The sequence below is a fragment of the Homo sapiens genome, chromosome 3 (genome assembly GCF_000001405.40).
Source record: "Homo sapiens chromosome 3, GRCh38.p14 Primary Assembly".
Lineage (NCBI taxonomy): Eukaryota > Metazoa > Chordata > Mammalia > Primates > Hominidae > Homo > Homo sapiens.
In genome coordinates, this window is record NC_000003.12 from 164,353,264 (window position 1) to 164,374,051 (window position 20,788).

The 20,788-nt window shown below is 33.9% G+C and overlaps 1 long non-coding RNA gene across 1 annotated transcript in view; it reads left to right on the forward strand.

The window, feature by feature from the left end:
• LOC105374189 (uncharacterized) overlaps window positions 1-17,413 on the forward strand; it is a 31,734-nt gene extending 14,321 nt beyond the window's left edge. The window contains exons 2-3 of the long non-coding RNA XR_924657.2: window positions 7,809-7,866; window positions 17,351-17,413. This is a non-coding gene — a long non-coding RNA (uncharacterized LOC105374189). The remainder of the gene's footprint in view (window positions 1-7,808; window positions 7,867-17,350) is intronic.
• Window positions 17,414-20,788: the final 3,375 nt, after the last annotated feature.

The following is a 20,788-nucleotide window of genomic DNA, read 5'->3' on the forward strand; positions in this document are numbered from 1 at the left end:
TGAATCCACATCCTTAATAGCCTCAGAAATGATTGTTTTGTCCTCCTTCAGATAGCATTTTCAAAACATATAAATACATGATGTCACAATTAAGAATTTAAGAAATATAACCTCAGCATCTTACCACAAATGTTTTCTTTTAATAATAAAACCAAATCTATCTGCATGTGTCATCTTAGGTTTGAATGGTGACTTGATAATAGATAATGGGCACTTACCAAAATGCATAATCTTGTAAGAAGACCTCAAAAATAAAAATACTACAGAGTACTTTTCTTATTTTTTCAAAGAAAGAGTATGCTCATTAAATTATTTTTAAAGAATTTATATAATTATTTACTCATACCTAATTTCAATGATATAATTAAATAAATGTAATTTGGCAGTATTATATTGTTTTTAAGCTTAAGTGTCATTCTATACATTTACTCTTCAGTTAATTTTCAGTCACCTTTTCATTTTATAGAGAAAAATTACCATAAATACTCAATCTGCTTTCTGAGATGTGATTTTACATTTCATGCAGGATGAGCTGCAGGAGGTTTAAAGTGAAACACAAAATCCATTCCCACAGTATCTCACACAATCTGAATTAGAGACCTTTAACAAACCTCTCCTAGAAGATCCAGACATCTGTGGGATTGCTTCAAACATCTGTTCTAATAACAAAATTATTTTTTATTTTTGAAACAAGAAAATAAAAGCCTCATCATATGTATATTGGAAATTAAACCTAGTTGATTTGAAGGAGTCAGTCAATTAGTCAGTTGATTAGTCAATCAACTGCAAAGCCATAAGACAAGGTGTTTATTGGGGTTTTATGAATTTCATTTCAGGAAACAAACTCCACTAAAGACCAAATTATGTTCTGAAGAGAGGGATGAGAGTAGAGATTTTTAAAAGGACTCAGAGTGATCATACCAGTTGTTTTGAAGGAAATATCTTTGGTGTAGGCAACAGGCTTAGTACATGTTCATAGTTCATTGGTTGTCACTGTATAAGAGTTGCAGCACTGAAGAAATTCACCTGTTTTCCAGGGTGACGCGATCATGGCACTTTGGCCTTGTTCAAAGATTTAAGACAAGTTAATACAGTCATTCTTAGAATGGCTTCTGAACTCTATCTTAGAGCTGTGAACCAGGAAGACACCTCTTTGTATATTACATTACATTTCACAAAGGTTTAACATTTTACTATCAAGCTAAATATATATTCAAATACCATGGCTGTGATAAGTTAGTATACAGTTATTAAAATCTACAAAAGATACTGTATTATGAAAATACATATCACCTATTTTAAAAGTGAAGTTAAAAGAAGAAACTAATATTTACAATAGTTTAGGGTCTCTGGAACTCAACAAGCATGAGGTCAAATAATATTTATGTCAGATTTAAGGTGATTTTCCTTCTCATACTTCCACAAAGGGTTAGTTAACTATATCTTATAGTCTGAGTAAAATGTTGACATAAAATCTTGTCCCTTTCTCGTATGTTATAGATATAAATGGATTGGAAGATTATAAGTCATAAGATGGGATTGCTGTTGAAATAAAAATATTGCATGATTCGCCTGACTTCTAGATGAAACCAAGAAAAACTGCACATTATCCCTTGCATATTACAGTAAAACAAAATTGGAAATAGAACTAGAACCTGAAAAAAATAAGTACAAATTGGAGTAGATACAGTTAAAACTATAAAATTTATATTACATATATAATACTTGCAACTATAATCTATAAACATACGTGTTCATGGTTATATTCCACTTACTTAAATGCCTAGAGCAAAATATGTAATCTATTTATTATTGAACCACCTAAAACAGTTATAAAACTATCAATAAACTTTTGAATACTGGAATTTAATTAATTATATCAACATTTAATGCAGCGCCTGAGTATAGTGTATAGCTGAGAAAAGAATTAAAACTAATGTAATACCAGATTTCTGTTCTTAAAGAGCTCATAGTCTACAGAATAATTTAGATGTAGAAATTAAAATATGGATTTCTGGAAGAGTACTTAAATATAACAAAAACAGAAAACAAGAATAAATAATCAATAACGGAATTTTCTATAAACTTTTTGTGGAATGTTAAATAATCCAAAATATATCAATCTCACAATAGGTATTTTTTTAAATAGTGCCATTTTGAAATCAATAATTTCAAGCTAGTGTATATCCAGACCTACTCCATATCTCACTGAAACCCTGTCTAAAATATAAAACTAAAAGAACCAAAGGAAAAGCCCAAAAACACAAAGATATTCAAGAGAATAAAGCATTTCCAGCAGATAAAATCGCAGTTAATTTTTCAAAAACAAAGAGGATGAAGGTTGTTTACTGATAATTACATATTACATAAATATAAAATTTAATGTGGGTTGAGGGAATCTTTATTGAAAATGGAGAGATTCAACTGAAAATATAGGCAGCCTATTAATAATCCTTAATTAAAATACAGGATATCCCTTTGGCTAAAGAAAGAATTATTTTTAGGGGCAGGAAAGAATTATTCTGGGGAAAGTTAATTCTTTTAGTGTACGCATTAGTTCCACCAAATAAAAACTTTGCATTGAGGTTTTGGAGAAACCTCATCCTGACAATCCGTTGTCTGACAGCTCTTTCTAATGTGAAATTTGTCCTGACAAAAATACAAACTTCTTACAGTAACAGTTGTCACACTGAGATACCTAGCAGAGAAGGCCTACTTACAATATACCACAGGACAGCTCTCAGCTCTTTTGTTCTTATGCCTGTACTATGAAAAGACAATGACCAAAAACATATGAACAGATCAGTAATATGTTAAAAAAAAATACCAGTTTATAACAATATCAGAAAAAATGCAATATTCGAAAAAGACATAATAATTTGGCAAAGAAAAGAGAACTTTAAAAAACAACTTGAATAAATATACTCACAATAGTAAGACACCCTTAAAGTAAGAATTTTGTGCCATGAAGTGAGCAGAAAACTCTGTATAGTGCTCTTGGAGATTAAAAAGCAGGCAAGGAGGCAAAGTCTTCTTAAAGTTTTGGGGTAATGTTTGTAACCGAGCAGGATATACTCAGTAAAGTATCGAGAAAATATAACATGAAATCATTATCAAACATAAACATCCTTAAAATATTTTTCTCTTTTGTACCCTTCACTTAGAAATTTAGTTGAGATTATCTTCAGCAAAATGGGGAAGTAAATGAAAGAGTAGAAGTGTATAAGATCTAGAAAATGGCAGTGCTATACCAGAGAACATGAGGTTTTCAGGGATGGGAAGATAGGGTTATCAGGAGAGACAACTGATTTTTTAAATGAAACACTTGAAAGAATAATAAAACCTTAATATTTAATAAAAAATGAAAAATTTAGAGGAACAAATATTTTTTTAAAAAATTAACAATTCAAATATAAAGCTAATTAAAATGTGGCCTGATTATAAAAAACAAACAAGAAACTAAGAACATATAAAAAAGTGAGAGAAAAAGAATCAGTTTAGGCTTGATGCTACATAAACAAAAAATCTCCTTCAAGTGCCCTAGAGATCCAGACACATTACCTATAGAGAAAAAAATAAAATCCCAGAACTCTACTTGAAGTGAAAATAATTGCATAATCACAGCAAGATAAATGCCATTAATTTTTTTTTCAACATCTAGGATCAACCTAGGGAAAAAGTGCAGAAGACTTGGCAGTCAGAGAGAGCATGAATATTAATGACTTGGCAATAATAAAAGCAATAGTGTAGATATTGATAGAAGGCAGACCACAGATATTGAGTGAAGGTATTAGGAGAAAAGTTGGAAGTATGTGGAATCTAATAGCATCATCTCACATAAAGTTTTCTTGAAAGACTGAAATAAAAGTGTATTGTTAATAATTTATAATTGAAAAACAAAAAGTATACCAATGTCAGATATTAGGAGGTGTAGGGGGAGGGATAGTTCCAACTTCCATAGCATAAAATTTTTAGATACATCTTGGCACTGAAAATTAAAGCATATCTTGAAACTGCTTTTTCTTGATTACCATAAACTAATTTCCATGTTACTTTTTCCTCCTGGGTTAACTGAAATTACCCAAAACAATTACCACCCTTCAAAATCTGAGCTTTTCCCTTTCTTTGTCACTACCGTAAGTTCTTCATCTCAAATAATCATATAAATCTCAAATGCAAAAACGTATTCTTCACTGTTGATACACTGAGTCTGTGATGGCAACTGTTTCTTTTTTCAGATCTTCAAATGTAAGCTGAGATTCATTTTGAAATCACCATGAGGAATAGAAATCATTTAAATATTGATGGCCTCATTTGTCTCTGCTTTTAAACAGATTAAATAGCTCACAAAAGATTCAATAACAATACTTAGAATTTTAAAGTGTAATGTCAGGGTTCATTAGAAAATCCAGGATAACAGAAAATAGCTGAATTCAAATATACCTGAGATTTTCTTGCTATTTTGCTTTTGTTCTGAATAGTTATCTTATCTGGGCTGAAAAGACAGAAGGTATTGGACAGTCCAGTGAGAATTTGCTACCTAACATCATTGCTTTTCAAGAGCTCAAGATGTTAGTTTTTTTACTCATTGGAATTTTAAAATATTGTCTTTCAAAATATCTCTATTGGTTAAAAAATAAACATAGAAAAATAATATTTGTAGAAATTATGTGAGATAAAGCAAATGTAGATATGAAAATTTTCTTTGCCAAAATAATTACACATGGACATGCACACATCTCAAGATATTTCTAAAAGTCATAACGAACATTTTCAAATATGAACAGTTCAGCCTATACTAGAAGAGAAAGGGAATTGAAATATTCAGTGGATATTAAAACTAAAGTATTAAGAATATATTTAGTCAGAAGTTACTATTTTAAGTTTCAAAAACGATAGAATTGAAACCAGCCCAATTTTCTCATAGAGCTGATATTTACAAGTTTTTATAATAAACATCAAAATTGACCCTCTGTCTTTAAATTTGAAATTTATCTTTGTCTCATCTGAGTCCCTTCCTCTGGAACCCTCAGGCAAGGAACTAAAACTCAGACCACTACATCCAGACAACGAGATGCCAGACCTCTCATCTATGATAATTACTCCTTAGCCCTCCCTAATTTTTCTCAATTTCCCTCACTATATACACTCCACAGTTTTGATCTGTTGGGTAGACAGATTTGAGACTGATACCTTGTTCTCCTCAGCTATAGCACAGGAATAAATCCTTCTTCCCTGGTAATACTTGTTATCTCAGTGATTGACTTTTTGTGCTGTAAGCAACAGATCCTAGGCTGCACCCCTGCAGTTCTGTTGTACAGAACTGTACAACCAAAAGAGTGAACTCTAATGTAAACTTCGAATTTTACTAAATAGTAATGTATCACTATTTGTTCATCTTATAACAAATGTTCAACTTATAACAAATGTAACAAAGCAAGCTATAAATTACAGAGAAACGTGCAGGAAGGAAAGATAATATGGACACTTTTTTATTCAATTTTTCTGTAAACCAAAAACTTCCTGAAAAAAGCAAGTAATAAAAAAAACTTGATAAGTGATTTTCCAAAATGATCACATTATTACAGTCATCCCTCGGTATACAATGAGGATTGGCTCCAGGACATCCTCATGTAACAAAATCCACACATACTCAAGGGCAGTTGGCCTTGTGGAACTGGTTATAGGAAAAGTTGGCCTCTGTATTTGTGGGTTTTGCATCCTGGAAATACTATATTTTCCATGCATGTTTGCTTGAAAACAGTCCACTAAAAGCGTACCTGCACAATTCAGGCCTGTGTTGTTCAAGAGTCAACTGTACTTAGATTTGGCTTTATTCTATCTAATCAGTATTAACCCTGTGTCTTCTAAACCACTCACATTATTTTAAGCAAATGCCCTATATTTGATTTTGGGAACATAGAATCTAGACTACTTGAATGATTTCCCAAAGTTGAATAGCTTACAAGAAATAGAGGCAATCAAATCAAGTCTTAGTTGTTTTGTTTGACATAAGATTATGTTGTATTATTTACTATTAAAAGTAGTTTAAGGAAATACTGGCACTTGCCATACTCAAATTAAGTACAATCACAGACTCCAATGGAAAGGTGGAGCTACAAGAACATACAATAATTTCATAATAGAAATTCACTGGTTTCCTACCTGATTTTAATTAGACTTGTCCTGTTTTTCTTCCCTCCAACCTATGACTACATTTTACCATTAGATTTTTGTACCTAAGTCACAATCTTCATTCTTCAGTTGAACAATAGTTTCTTAGTTAGAATTCATCTCTTTTTTGCAAGCAGTGTGAACCTTCTTAAGCAGTTGTGCCAAAGGAAGAACTGAATATAAAAATGCCTATGTTCCTCTCACACTCCACAGTTTCCAGTATAGCCAAACCTCAGGAAGATACTGGAATTAGGAACTAGAAATTTCTTTCTCGTCATCTACTTTCTGCTTCTGTCTCTACAGACTTGCTTTTTCTGCCTTCCTAAATTCATAGAGGAATATGACTGTCTCATGACACATCAGGTTTTTCTTCTTTAAAACATCCCTAGTTCCCACGTAAAACACAAACTCAATCAGAAATTCTAATTAAAATTTGTCTGAAAGAATAATTTGGACAGGTCTAGCTTTAGGAAGGAATCTAACCCTAAATCTCTGAACCATAAGCAAGTTTGGGAGTGATGAGAGGGTTATAAAATATTAATATGGCTTATGGGGAGTCACCCTGGTAACTAAGGGGACAGTTTTCTTATTAATATTGATCTGGATTAATGTCTGCTATATATTGGTTATTTTACTAGGTAACAAATATATAATGATACATTAAACCCCCGTCTGGGTTGGGCGCAGTGGCTAAAGCCTGTAATCCCAGCACTTTGAGAGGTTGAGGTAGGTGGATCACCTGAGGTCAGAAGTTCGAGATCAACCTGACGAATATGATGAAACCCTGTCTCTACTAATAATACAAAACTTAGCCAGGTGTGGTGGCATGCGCCTGTAATCCCAGCTACTCGGGAGGCTGAGACAGGAGAATCGCCTGAACCTGGGAGGCAGAGATTGCAGTGAGCCGAGATTGTGCAACTGCACTCCATCCTGGGAAAAGAGCGAAACTCCGTCTCAAAACAAACAAGCAAACAAACCAACAAACCCCACTTCTGGATTTCACAGAATGCAACCTCTGAGTGGAGTAATAGGCACATATGTCACTAAACTACTGCATAATAAGATCATACATATATTGGATTCACTGCTGAAAAAGCTTTGATGGTTTCAAATTTTTTTAAAGTTTCAACTTCTCAGGATGGAATCAATGTATTCGAGTATCTAACTTACCTTTTTAATGTCTTTTCCAAACAGACACAATACAGTACACAGTGAATGTGTATCTATATTTTGCTAACTAAATTATATGTTCCTTTAGTGTTGATTTCATTCTAAATGACTTTTCAAGAGTAATTACTGTATTTTATAATTCTGTCATGACACTGAAATAAGCACATACTTAGGTACACTGTGTGCGTGTGTGTATGTGTGTGTGTATGTATAAAATGAACAGATGCACAGATAAATTTAGCCACTGTTTATATTATTTGGTAACTTAAACTTTTAGCGACAAATTTATATTGGTAAATACTGATTAATGGGTTTCACTTTCTGTTTCTGGCCTAGTCAGTCTTTTCAGCCTGTTTAAGAAAGTGATGGAAAAAAATCCCTTATGGTTAATTACTAAATGTTTATGTTAGTAAAAATACATAAAGACATAATCGACTGAAATGTCTGGAAATAATTTATTGCAGGGGACCCCTACCACCAGACCTGTCCGTGGACTGTTAGGAGCCAAGCGGCACAGCAGAGGTGAGCAGTGGGCTAGTGAGCATTACTGCCTGAGCTCCGACTCCTGTCAGATCAGCAGGCGCATTAGACTCTCATAGAAACGTGAAACCTATTGTGAACTGCACATGTCAGGCATCTAGGTTGTGTGCTCTTTAAGGAAATATAATGCCCCACACCTCATTTATGGAAAATTTTCCTCCACAAAACTGGTTCCTGGTGCCAAAAATGTTAGGAATTGCTGATTTATTGCCCTAAGATATCCAACAGGCTGGACGCAGTGTCTCAGGCCTGTAATCCCAGCACTTTGGGAGACCGAGGCAGGAGGATCACTTGAGGTCAGGAGTTCAAGACCAGCCTGGTCAACACGGTGAAAACCCGTCTCTACTAACAATACAAAAAAAAAATTAGCCGGGTGTAGTGGCACACGCCTGTAATACCAGCTACTCAGGAGGCTGAGGCAGGAGAATCTCTTGAAATCCAGGAGGCAGAGGCTGCAGTGAACCGAGATCGTGCCACTGCACTCCAGCCTAGGCGAGAAAGAGGGAGCGAGACTCCACTGGGGGTGCGAGAGGTGGTGGGGGGTGCGAAAAAAAAAAGATATCTAACAAAATGAATAAGACAGCTGATCAGTTGATGAGCAGAAAGTTAAACATATTTTTTACATAAAGTCTGGAACATTTGCCTAATAGGAATTTAATATTGCCAATGAGACATTATAGAATTGTTATTTTGTATAACTTTAGGAACACAATCAGTTTCTCTCTTTACCCTCTTTTTCTCACTCTCTCTTTCTCTTTCTTTCCTTCTCTTTCTCTCTTTAAATAATCCATACTGATTAAAATCGTTTAGTATATCAGGGCAATGCCTTTAAATATGATTCAATAGATACCCCTCTATTTACAATACATGTAAAATTGATATCTGTGTGTAGACAGAGTAGGAATGACAAAGTAATTACACAGGAATTGATTCATTTCTAATATTAATTTGAAAAAAGAAATTAATGAAACATGTTATATTGACCAATGCCATTTGTGAAAACCACGTTTTAACTTTCTATTTGTATTATGTAAATCTTTTCTTTGAAGAAAACTTTTATATGTTCAATTTTAATGATTTCTGCTAGATTTCTTGTAGTTGTGTTTGTTCTTATATCAAAAAATTGAAGATGTAATATGCTAATAGTATTGCATTGCTCTAATGTTGCATGTATGACTTGACAAACCATTTTATTTATAAATTATAAACTCATGAGTCAATTTATATTTGTCACTGATTAAATGGGCTCTTGAGTTCTGTTACTTTTTGATTAGGACATTAATTGCATCAAGCCGACATGGACTCTATCCAAGATAGTTAAAAATAAGGGAAGTTTAATGGTGCTGTGGCAAAAATATTGGAGGTTTTATTTTCCCTCTGGATAGGCAGAACCATTTAGTGGATTTTGTAAAATATTAAATGTGTATAGAAAATTCATCAATTACTGAAAATAATGTCATGTCAGTATATCATATTAATAACAGATCACATGTATTGGTCTTATTAAATTTCTATTTAGCTTTTTGTGAAAAAACAGAAATACTAATTATTTCCCCTCTTTATCCATTGAGAACATTATATACACTCTCATGCACACAACATCAGGTAGTAAACATGAAAGTCTGTGCTGTTTCACAGGAGGCTATAATTTACTTTCTTCTGGAATTTTGATTCACACTAGAAGTGAAATTCTACTATCAAGTACTAGTGTCACATGTTGGCCCTTAATATAAGTTCACTTTCAAAAATGAGTTTCACTACTGCTCAAATGCCTCATCTAGCAAAGAAAATATTAGGCAGAAACCAAATATTGCATGTTTTCACTCATAAGTGTGAGCTAAATGATAAAAACTCATGAACATGAAGAAGAGAACAATAGACTTTGGGGTCTGTTGGGGATGGAGTAGTGCCGAGTGGAGTGGAGGGCAGACGGTGGGAGAGGAGCAGAAAAGGTATCTACTGGGTGCTAGGCTTAATACTTGGGTTATGAAATAACCTGTATAACAAATGCTGGTGACACGAGTTCACCTATGTAACAAACCTTCACAGGTACCCCCAAACCTAAAAATTAAAAAAAAATAATAAATAAAACTAAGAAAAGAAAATATTAGATTAGAAAGATGATTAAACTTCAGTTCACTTAAGTTACAAATTTTCTCATTTTTTCATGTATGCATTCTAATTTCCATGTATTGGAAATCCTATTTTCTGCACCTCCAGAAATACTTAACAAGTGTTAATTCTGGTGCCACTTCTATTTATGGAAAAAGTAGTCTAAGAAGAAACATTAAAAAGGAAAATGTTAAAATGCTTAATGTAAAATGTATCCAGTGAAATCAATGCAAAAGTAGCAACACACACACACACACACACACACACACACACACCCCCTTTCCTTTCAAATTTCCCAAACAATTTCCTCATGAATGCTGTTATGCAGAGACTGTTCTTTATTTCTAAGAAGAGGTAAATTGGGCATTATTTTTACTGAAATTAATAGAAGAATTTCATGTACCCTTTCTCTGTAGCTGGAAAAAGTACTTACCTAGACTGATTTGCTTTTTGTCTCAGTAACATTTTTAGTTTGGGCATAGAATTATTTCTTAATGTTTTACACTATGATTATTTCAGAGCTCTTTCAGCTCCTATGTATGGTTTTCATAAAGCAAAATTGAAAAGTATGTATCTTTAGAAATAAAATAAACTCAATCCCTAGGCTATCATATTATCTCCACTGACATATTTATGGAATCAGAATTGAAGGTTAAATGTCTCTTGATATGAGGATTCAGTATCCCTATGCCTGCCACCAAAATAAGTACAATAATATGCGATAGAAAATAGTAATTCAGAATATTTTATTAATGCACCATTATTTCAAAAAGTCACCAAAGAGGGGAAAACCCCATATAAGTGGATCTCATGGAAATGAAAAAATGACTGTGAACTGATTGTGGCTGCTAGGGTCTTAATATTTGTATACTTCTAAAATTCGTATGTTGAAATCCTAACCCCCAAAGTAATAATAGTATGAATTTGGACTTTTGGGAGATGATTAGGCCATGAGGGCAGAGTCCTCATGAAAAGGATTAGTGTTCTTATAAACGAGATCCCAGGCAGCCTGTTTACCCCTTCGTGCATGTGAGATGACAGTGAGAAGACAGCTTGTCAATGCGGAAGCAGGCCCCCAACAGATACTGAATCTGCCAACACCTTGATCTTAGACTACCCAGTCTCCAGAACCGTGAAAAATAAATTGCTGTTGTTTATAAGCCTCCCAGTTTATGGTGTTTTCTTGTAAAAGCAGGGATGGACTAAGACAAAGACCTTCTTAAACTGGGGAAAAAATTGTTTTCTCAATCGCGAACTAGAAATTACAAAAGAAAATATTGCTTCTCTGTGTATTTCTCATTTGGTATAATTTTACAATTCACCCTCTGACCTGTGAAAATATCATTAAAATACCCACTAGAGTTTCTTGCACTGTCTAAACAGAGAAGGAAAACTTCCTTGTGAATACTGTGACGTTAGTTCTTTGTATAGCTGCAAAACTCATCAGCATGATAAACCTGGCAATGAAAATCAGAGAATTTTGGAGCTCACACATGCTGTTTCATTTAATACATTACAGTTACTTATGGTATAAACTTTGATTTAATGCAGCCTGGAGAAGCTTCATCACCTCATAAATGGTTAACAATTAGATATGCCCACAATACTCGCTCATAGATCTGAATAAAATGTTAACAGTTTCTGCCAGCCACATCATTAAAGTCAATTGTAGTTCATCACTTATGCCCATACCTGACAGAATTATTACACCGTCACTATTAACATATAGCAATTACTTGGTATATGCCTTTATGGAAGGTTATCAGTCAGTGAATTTTGATGTAATAAACACGCCTTATAGATCAACTTCAGCATCAAAATGAAGCTGTTTTGAGTAAAACAGAAATAACAGAAATATAATAATATATGTTCCCTTCTTCAGAGAATCCTTTATTGACAAAGTTAGAAAACTTGTCTTTACTGAAAATTCCACATATCATCTATTAAAGCACTTTTGAAATTGGTGCTTCTAAAATTGCAAGATGACTCACAAAATTAAAACCACGAAGTTAACTTGCTCAGTTGAGTCTTACCCTTAGAAAAGGAATAGATTCTGCTTCAAGTCCTGTGCTACTTCTACTACATTATGCCAACTCTGAGAATACAGCCAGTTCTTGGTATTGGAGTTGCACTTATAGCAATGTCTGCTTTGGATTAAATTCACTTCAATGACAAGTGACAGCAGTGTTCTTAGGCAATCTATTGTTGGGTGTGCAGAAGCAGAGAAGACAGAGTAAAAAGTGCTAGGACATGGTGAAGGACAAATAGGAGCAATGGAGCAAAGCTGTTTCACATTAGGAAACAGTAGCAGTAGAGAGAATCCTTGAAGTCTGGAAATATAGTATCAGTAGGATCATTTTTAAGCAAAAGTGTCATCAGTTTCTCTGTGAAATATAAAAGATATTCCTTGATTATAACTATTAATTTAGAAAAAAAGTATTATAAAAAGTAGAAGAGTTCAAATTATTGATATTTTTAGTCACATTGACATGTCTTACCACTTCAAAGTGATTGTAGACAGTAAAATCACATCATTAAAATAGAGAATTATATATCCTATGACAAAATAATACAAAATTAACTAAAATTAATATTTTTATAGACCTAATTCTAACTTCAAATATATCACCTAGACACAATTTTTGAAACTCTCAATCATGGGTGATCACAGGAAAGGTTTTCGTCCTATCCATTTTTTCCCCCATATATTTCTAGAGCCATATGCTGACTTGCTTTGGAATGCTGTTATCCTTGAATTGGTCTTTAAATTTCAAATAGACAGAATCTGCTCTTATCACTCAGATCTTCAAAGTTTATGTTTTACAAATACTTTATCATTTGTGTTTCTATGGTTTTTTTTTAATCCTTTATTGCCTAGTAAATGCTGATGCCTGACTATTGTCACTGCCTTGAGTTTCTGTGTCATCCAACTGTTTTCCTCCCAAGTGTGCTCTTCCAACTTGATAAAATTCCTAATATCCTTGTCCACTAGAACATCTTTTAGAATAAACTTAACCTCAAAATGTCCCCTTCCTCATTACAGTCATAACCTGTCAGGTTCTAATTTATCTCAGTTTATTATTTTATTCCAAATACATTTTATTTCAAGAACAATTTATCCCAAGCACACTTTAATAAGTCTACAAATGTCTCACATTCTACTTTCAAGTCACTTTCTTAGATTTTTTAAATAAATAGGTGTTATATAAACAATAAATTTAGAAATTCTTTCACTAGACAATTAAATCTTTGTCATTGGGCCAAGGTCTAAACTTTCGGCTTATTTTTATCTTCAGAAAAGATTCCCCATACCAGTAGACAAATCAGTGCCATACAGATTCCCCAATTGCTTAGTCAAGTTGGCTATTCAGTCCAATAGAAAACTGAATATGTCAAATTGTATATAGAGTTTGCAGTATTTATTGTAAAAACCTGAATCAATAGCTAATTATATGTAAATTTAGAGAAATGTTTATATGTAGTTGGAACCATTTATTGGTAATTGGATTATGAAATTTTATCAGAATTTGTAATCTGTATGATATGGAAATAATGCACGTTTTGGGTACCTTTCTAACATGTACACCTAGGTTTCAAAATCAAGTTGAATCAAATGTCATCACAGGGGCCCTTGAAAACACTTGTGGAATTCTTCCTATTGTATAAAACTTGAATAAATGTATATGAGGAAATTCATAATTCTTGCTTAGTAATAATCTGAAATTCTGTGAATTTGAGCTATAAAATTGTAAATATTGTGTCCCTTTAGTATTTATTATGCACTGGGAAAATTTGTGAGTACTTGATATGCATTTCCTTATTTAATTAATATATTATGCCTTGAGGTGAGTACCATGATTACTCCAATTTATTAATGAGGAAATTGAGACACAATAATATCATCACCATGCCCAAAAGCCACAGAAACAAAATGTGGAAGCGAAGGTTTTAATTCTCATGCTACTGCTCTTAATCATTGAGCAAAAAAAAGTTGAACATATATATATACACACACACACACTCACATATAATTTTGTTATAACATATATGTGTGTGTGTGTGTGTGTGTGTTTTTCATTATAGCATAGTGATTCCACACTCTGGGGCTAAACTGACAAGGTTTGAAATTGAATCACGTTACCACTTATAAACTGTCTGTAATGAGCCAAACTACCTAACCTCTCTGCTTAAGTTTTCTTATCTATAAAACAAATATAATAATAGCACTGAAGTCATATAATTATTGTGAAGAATAAATGAGCTAATATATGTAAAGTGCTTTAAAAGCTTTTGTATGCTCACCTGTATGTACATTTATAGATAAGAATGAGTTTAGAGTATGTTGAACTTTAATTAACATCTTCTGTTACTTCATTCCCCCCATAATTTTAAAGTTAGTCTTAAGTTTGCCTTCTCCTTAATGTCATGATTTAGGAAATATTCTTTGGTATGTCTATGAGAAAAAAAATCCCAATTTCTCTGACTTGGGTATTCTTGTTGGCAATGTGGAATAGTAGAAAATGTGTGTGGTCATTAAATTGCACTGGCCAGTAATCAAATCAAGTAGCATCTGTGGTTTGCTCAGACTAAATATCTTACCTTTGATGATTTATCATATTGATTTGCTTCTCATATAGCCTTTCAAAAGTGGAAATATGAGAGTCAGCATTGTGATTCAGGATCTTTTGTATTATCTTCTGTGTTATCATGATGCAATAAAATAAGTAGTAGAATTATGGTTTTTGTGACCTGAACAAACTTATAATAAGGACATTATAAATATAATATTATAAGGCTATTATAATAAGGGCAGGCCACACATTGATGCAAACAAAAAAATGTATAGTGATGGTTTTCAATATTGTCCACCTCCTCAAAATAGTGTCATGTGTTCCGGAAGTCCCCAAAATCAGCCTCAGGTTTAATGATTCATTAAAAGAACTCCAAAAACTCAAAAAACCATTAAACTCAAAATTGCATTTTATAAAAGTGAAATAATATAGATTAAAATCATCAAAGGAAAAAGACACATAAAGCAGGGTTCAGGAAAGACCAGGCATGGAATTTTATGTTGTTCTCTTCCTGTGGAGTATGTAGAGTGCCTACTTTTCTCAGCAGCCATGTTTGGCAAAAAACCACTGAGCATTACCAATCAGGGAAGATCATCTGGGCCTTGGAATCCAGGCTCCTCATTGGGAGTTGGTCACTGAGACATGGTTGACTATCCATATGTCTGACGTTATGTGAAGGAAGGAATTTAACCTTATAGGAGGTATTGTTATTTAGATAAACACTTGTAATTGCGTGATAGGAGTGCCTTTGCTATTTATGGTGGGATTTTTCACCCACATCTCATAGTTTATGCTAACAAGATGAGTCGGAGTTGGGGCTGGCCATGCCAGAAAGACCAACAGTACAGTTAGAGGTTTGGGGGTTTGGGTCACATGATATCAGGCTGATTTTAAGGGTTGGTGAGAGAGGCCAGTTAAATTGAGTTCAATCCCTTGAACAATGCATCAATCATATATAGATAATAAAGTATCAACACAATTTCAGGATACCGAAGCTCTCATGAGCTTCCTGAGTTGGCAATACTCCATGTATATTGCCACGCATTGATGCCAGAAAAATAATGCATCCCTGAGGACAATGGAAACTTTGCATTTGGAATTCTCCCAGACTTTGCCCCATGTGTCTCTTTCTTTGGTTGTTTCCAGTTTGTATCCTTTTCCTGTAGTAAATGTGACCACAAGTACAATAGTTTTAAGGGAATCATGTTAAGCCCAGCAAATTGTTGAACCTTAGGTAGTTTGGGAAAATCCCTGAACTTGCAGTTTGTGTCAGAAGTCTTGGGCAGACTTAGCAGTCTGGGGGATTGTGCCCTTCATTTTGACTAAACTCCTTTGTAACGTTATTCTCTAGCCCCTCCAAAAGTCAAGCTGACACCCTGAATTCAAAGCCCCCACCATAAATCACACTGTCAGCAGGGACTATCTGGCATGTCTACTCAGGTACCCCCTAGTATATGAAGACAATATTAGGAGGCAGAACATTTCATGGGCTCAGATGTTATCACCAAGGACCTTGAGGAAAAAATGTTCACACTTTTCTTTGGCCAAGGATAATCTTTTATTGTATATCCACCCACTAGCATTTGAAAATATAATTTCTTCTACCTTTTCCATGCTTATGAACCAAATAACAGTAAAAATTAGTATGTTGAAGCCTTAACCCAGAGTGTGACTATATTTAGACATAGGCCCATTAAAGAGGTAATTAATTTTAACTGAGATAATAAGGGCAGGGTTTTCAGTTCAGTAGGACTGATATGCTTAGAAGAAGAGGAAGAGTCACCAAGGATACACTCACTCGGAGAAGAGACCATGTGAGCGCACAGTGACAAGGTGGCCATCTGTGAAGCAAGGAGAAGGACCTCCGGAGAAACCAACTCTGCTGGCACCTTAATCTTGGACTTTCAGCCTGGAGATGTGACAGAAAATAAATTTCCATTGTTTAAGTCATCCAGTCTGTGGTATTTTATTATGGCAGCCACAGTAAACTACTACACCTATGAAAAACCACAAAGTGTTAAGATATTAAATATAAAATATCAATCAGCTTTATAAAAGATGTCAATTAAAGTAAATGTGTATCTCATGCCAAAAAAGAAAAACCAGGTGCAAACATTATTGTAATATATTCACACTAAAATAAATACAGTATTTCTACCCACTGACAACTCAGGATTTATTATGAGCAGCAAATGTATCCAGTCTTGCTATTGCCATCTTTTTAAAAGGTTCTTCTATTCTTTACCTCTGTTTAATGAAAATAAACTGGTTGTTATAAAATTCAAATACTCTGTATAGAAGATTAGTACATTTTTATTGTCTAATATATGCATTTTATTTTTATTTTTTGAGTTTTGATGTATCGAAATCAAAACAATCACATTTTTTTTCTATTTTAAAGAATTGCTAGCAAAAGGTACAAATTGCTGTACTTTTCTCCTTGATTTTTTTTTGAATTGAGATTAGTCATGTTTTCTGCACACAGTACTACCTATATAAACAGGCTTTGCTTTAGGTTTAGAATTTGACTTAAACAGTGAAAATCAGTATTTTCTCTTCCCTCAAATGGCTGTGCTTCCTTTACTTTGAAATTTTATAGAATGATGAATCAAATTTGTTCTTAAGAGTTGGGTAGAAAAATCAACAACATTTAATGATAAAGAGATGTTAAAATGCTCACATGTATTCTGCACTTGTTACATGGAAGCCATTGTCGTGGGTCTTTAATATGTGCTACCTCATTTTAACTTCATAGTTAATTTTGTTCTTTGTGAACTTTACAGTTGCAAAGTTATAAGAGGAGGGAGTTCAAAATAGAAGTAAAAACAAGTAGAATCATTTCTCATGTGAGTATTTTCCATTTTGTTTTTCTTAAAAGAGTCCAATAATAAATGTTCTTTTACTACATCAAAGAATTTCAGATTGTTGAGATCAAGTAAGCATATCTGTAAAATGTTTCTTATTATTGGCTATTCTAATATCAGAAAATCCTATATAGATATTGTGATTGTTATTTTTCTTCAATGTGTCTTATTTGCAAGAGATAATACTGAGATTTTAGGCAATACTGCAGTGTTTAAACTAGCTGTATATCTTTTTGTGTATTTGTAAATCAAGTAGAAACTGTTCCTACATGTGTTGTGCTTTAATTAAACCAGCTGTGAACTTATCACAGGGTTGTATATAGCACCTTGCCAATACATAAAAAATTAACTGAACACATATGGGTGATTTCTTTATGCTGGTTGTCCTGAAAGTCAATGAGTGCAGCCACAAGGTCATGTTGACAGCAATCATCAGTATCCCTGTCAAGACAGCTGCGCCAAAAAATCAACTTTAGGTCAGGCACAGAGGCTCACGCCTGTAATCCCAGCACTTCAAGAGGCTGAGGTGGGAGGATCTCTTGAGCCCAGGAGTCCGAGACCGACCTGGGCAACACAGGGCAATCCTGTCTCTTCAAAAAAATAAAAATAAATTAGCCGAGCATGCACCTGTGGTACCAGCTACTCAGAAGGCTAAGGTGGGAGGATCACTTGATCCAAGGAGGTTGAGGCTGCAGTGAATCATGTTCACTCCACTGCACACCAACCTGGATGACAGAGCGGTAACCTGTCTCAAAATAAAAATAAAATAAAATAAAATAAAACAAATAAACTTTATTTCTCCCCATATTACAGAGGCAGGACAGGAGTGTCCTAGAAGCTCAAAAGTAAATGTACCTCTTTGGAAACCTAAATTATATACTCTGTGAATTAACAGTATGCCACTCCACTGCACACCAACCTAGATGACAGAGCGGTACCCCATCTCAAAATAAAATAAAATAAAATAAATACATAAAAATAAACTTTATTTCTCCCCATATTACAGAGGCAGGACAGTAGTGTCCTAGAGGCTCGAAAGTAAATGCAGCACTTTGGAAGCCTAAATTATATACTCTGTGAATTAACGGTATGTTAAAACTATGTTAAATTCTGCTTTGCTATTTTGTTGTGTGATAAAAAGACTTCTAAATTGGAAGTCAGGAAGGATGGACCTCAGCCATGAGCTGCCCTGGCAGGCTGTGCTTATCACAACAGTTGGTATTGCCCTTACTGCAACAAATGGGGAAGTAGATTTGACTGCACATTTTAACAAAAATCTTGAGAATACCAGGAAAACAACTAGCATGAAGGGAAGGCTGGGCAGAATAGATTTCTCATCTTCTTCTCTAGTTTGCCTCTAGAACAAAAAGCATCTGGAACACAAAGGGCAAACAATAAATATGTGTAGAATAAATGAAGGCTTTCCAAAGCAAATAGATAAAAGATTCAAAGTATACTTCTGTCTCCTATATGCTGTGTGACCTTGGAAAAAGGTCTCAGCTTTCTAAACATCAGTTTCCTAATCTATGACATATTCCTCATAGGGATAAACTGAAAAGTAAAGACTGGAATAGAGTTATAGGTACATAGATATAAATTTGAGGGTAGGTAGCACAGTATAAGCATTCAATATATAACTGTATAACAATAATGGTGGCAGTTATGCTTCTGCGACTCCTTAAATTGAATGTGATCATTAACTTTTACCCATCAATATAAAAATGGAGCAGTTTTTCAACTACTCATGAAAAATTATCCCTGCATCCTAAGATGATTTAATTTTTCATGGAACATAGAATTCTACGAATCACTTCATACTTAGTTTTCTTAGTCAAAAGTCAAAACCGTAATTTCGTTTTCACATTTAATTCTCTCTGGATGCTAAATCTTTACCTAGGCTGTGAGGGAAGGTTTCAGAGAATATAAGATTCAGTGAAGAAAAAATATTACATATTTCTACTGAGAATTTTCCTTAATGAATTGTAAGCTATTGACCTTTCAAAATAGAGAAATTTCTGTGATTTTAAAATTCTTTTGTGTAAAATTTTATTTTTCTTCTTTCTTAAAAAATACATAAAGTAGGCTGGGCACAGTGGCTCACACCTGTAATCCCAAAACTTTGGGAGGCCGAGGTGGGTGGATCATAAGGTCAAGAGATCGAGACCTTCCTGGCTAACATGGTGAAACCCCGTCTCTACTAAAAATACAAAAAATTAGCCTGGTGTGGCAGCACACGCCTGTAATCCCAGCTACTCGGGAGGCTGAGGCCCGAGAATCTCTTGAACCTGGGAGGCAGAGGTTGCAGTGAGCTGAGATTGCACCACTGAACTCCAGCCTGGGCGACAGAGCGAAACTCCGTCTCAAAAACAAAAAACAAACAAACAAAAAAATATAGTATTCTTATTATCTTTGGAATGTTAATAATTGTTAAGTACACTTATATGTCAAATATTAATAATGTAATAAAACACAAAAATCTTTTATCTATATTGCTAAGTTTTGTCCTAATAGCTATCACTGAGGTACACATTCTTTTCTGAAATCCTCCACTCCCTACCACTCTAAAATTTCTACTTATTTATTACAACTTTTTATATTTTTAATAAATTATTATAAACTTTCTTCTGTAGATCTATCAACCAGGATAGTTCCTTTGCAAATTGTCCAAAATACTGTCTCCTTATCTTTTTTTTTACTTCTAAATATATTATGAGTAAATACTCTTGGCTAGGCACAGTGGCTCACACCTGTAATCCCAGCACTTCGGGAGGCTGGGGCAGGAGGATCACGTAATATCAGGAGTTCAAGACCAGCCTGGCCAACATGGTGAAACCCCATTTCTACTAAAAATACAAAAACAAAAAAATTGGCCACCATGGTGGCAGGTGCCTTTAATCCCAGCTACTTGGGGGCTGAGGCAGGAGAACCGCTTGAACCCAGGAGGTGGAGGTTGCAGTGAGCCGAGACCGTGCCATTGCACTGCAGCCCAACAACAAGAGTGAAACTCCGTCTCAAAAATAAAATAAAATAAAATACTTTCAAAGTATTTTAGTACTTCTCTTAACAACTTTCACATAAAACACATTATTTTTTGCAGTTTTAAAAATGCAACCACAAAATAAATATTATTTTTCTTCAAAAAAGTTTCGTAATAAAGTGTTATATTATTTAGAATATTATGTTTAATTTGGGTAACATAAAATATAAAGTAACTAATTGAAAGACTTAATGGTTTAATCACTAATGGAGAATAATGTTCATCATTAATATTTGGGTTCAACAAAATAACTTGTGTTCTTGGGGTTAGATGGTTTTCAGAAAGGCTTTTAACAATAAAATGCGTTTTGTTTTTCAGTT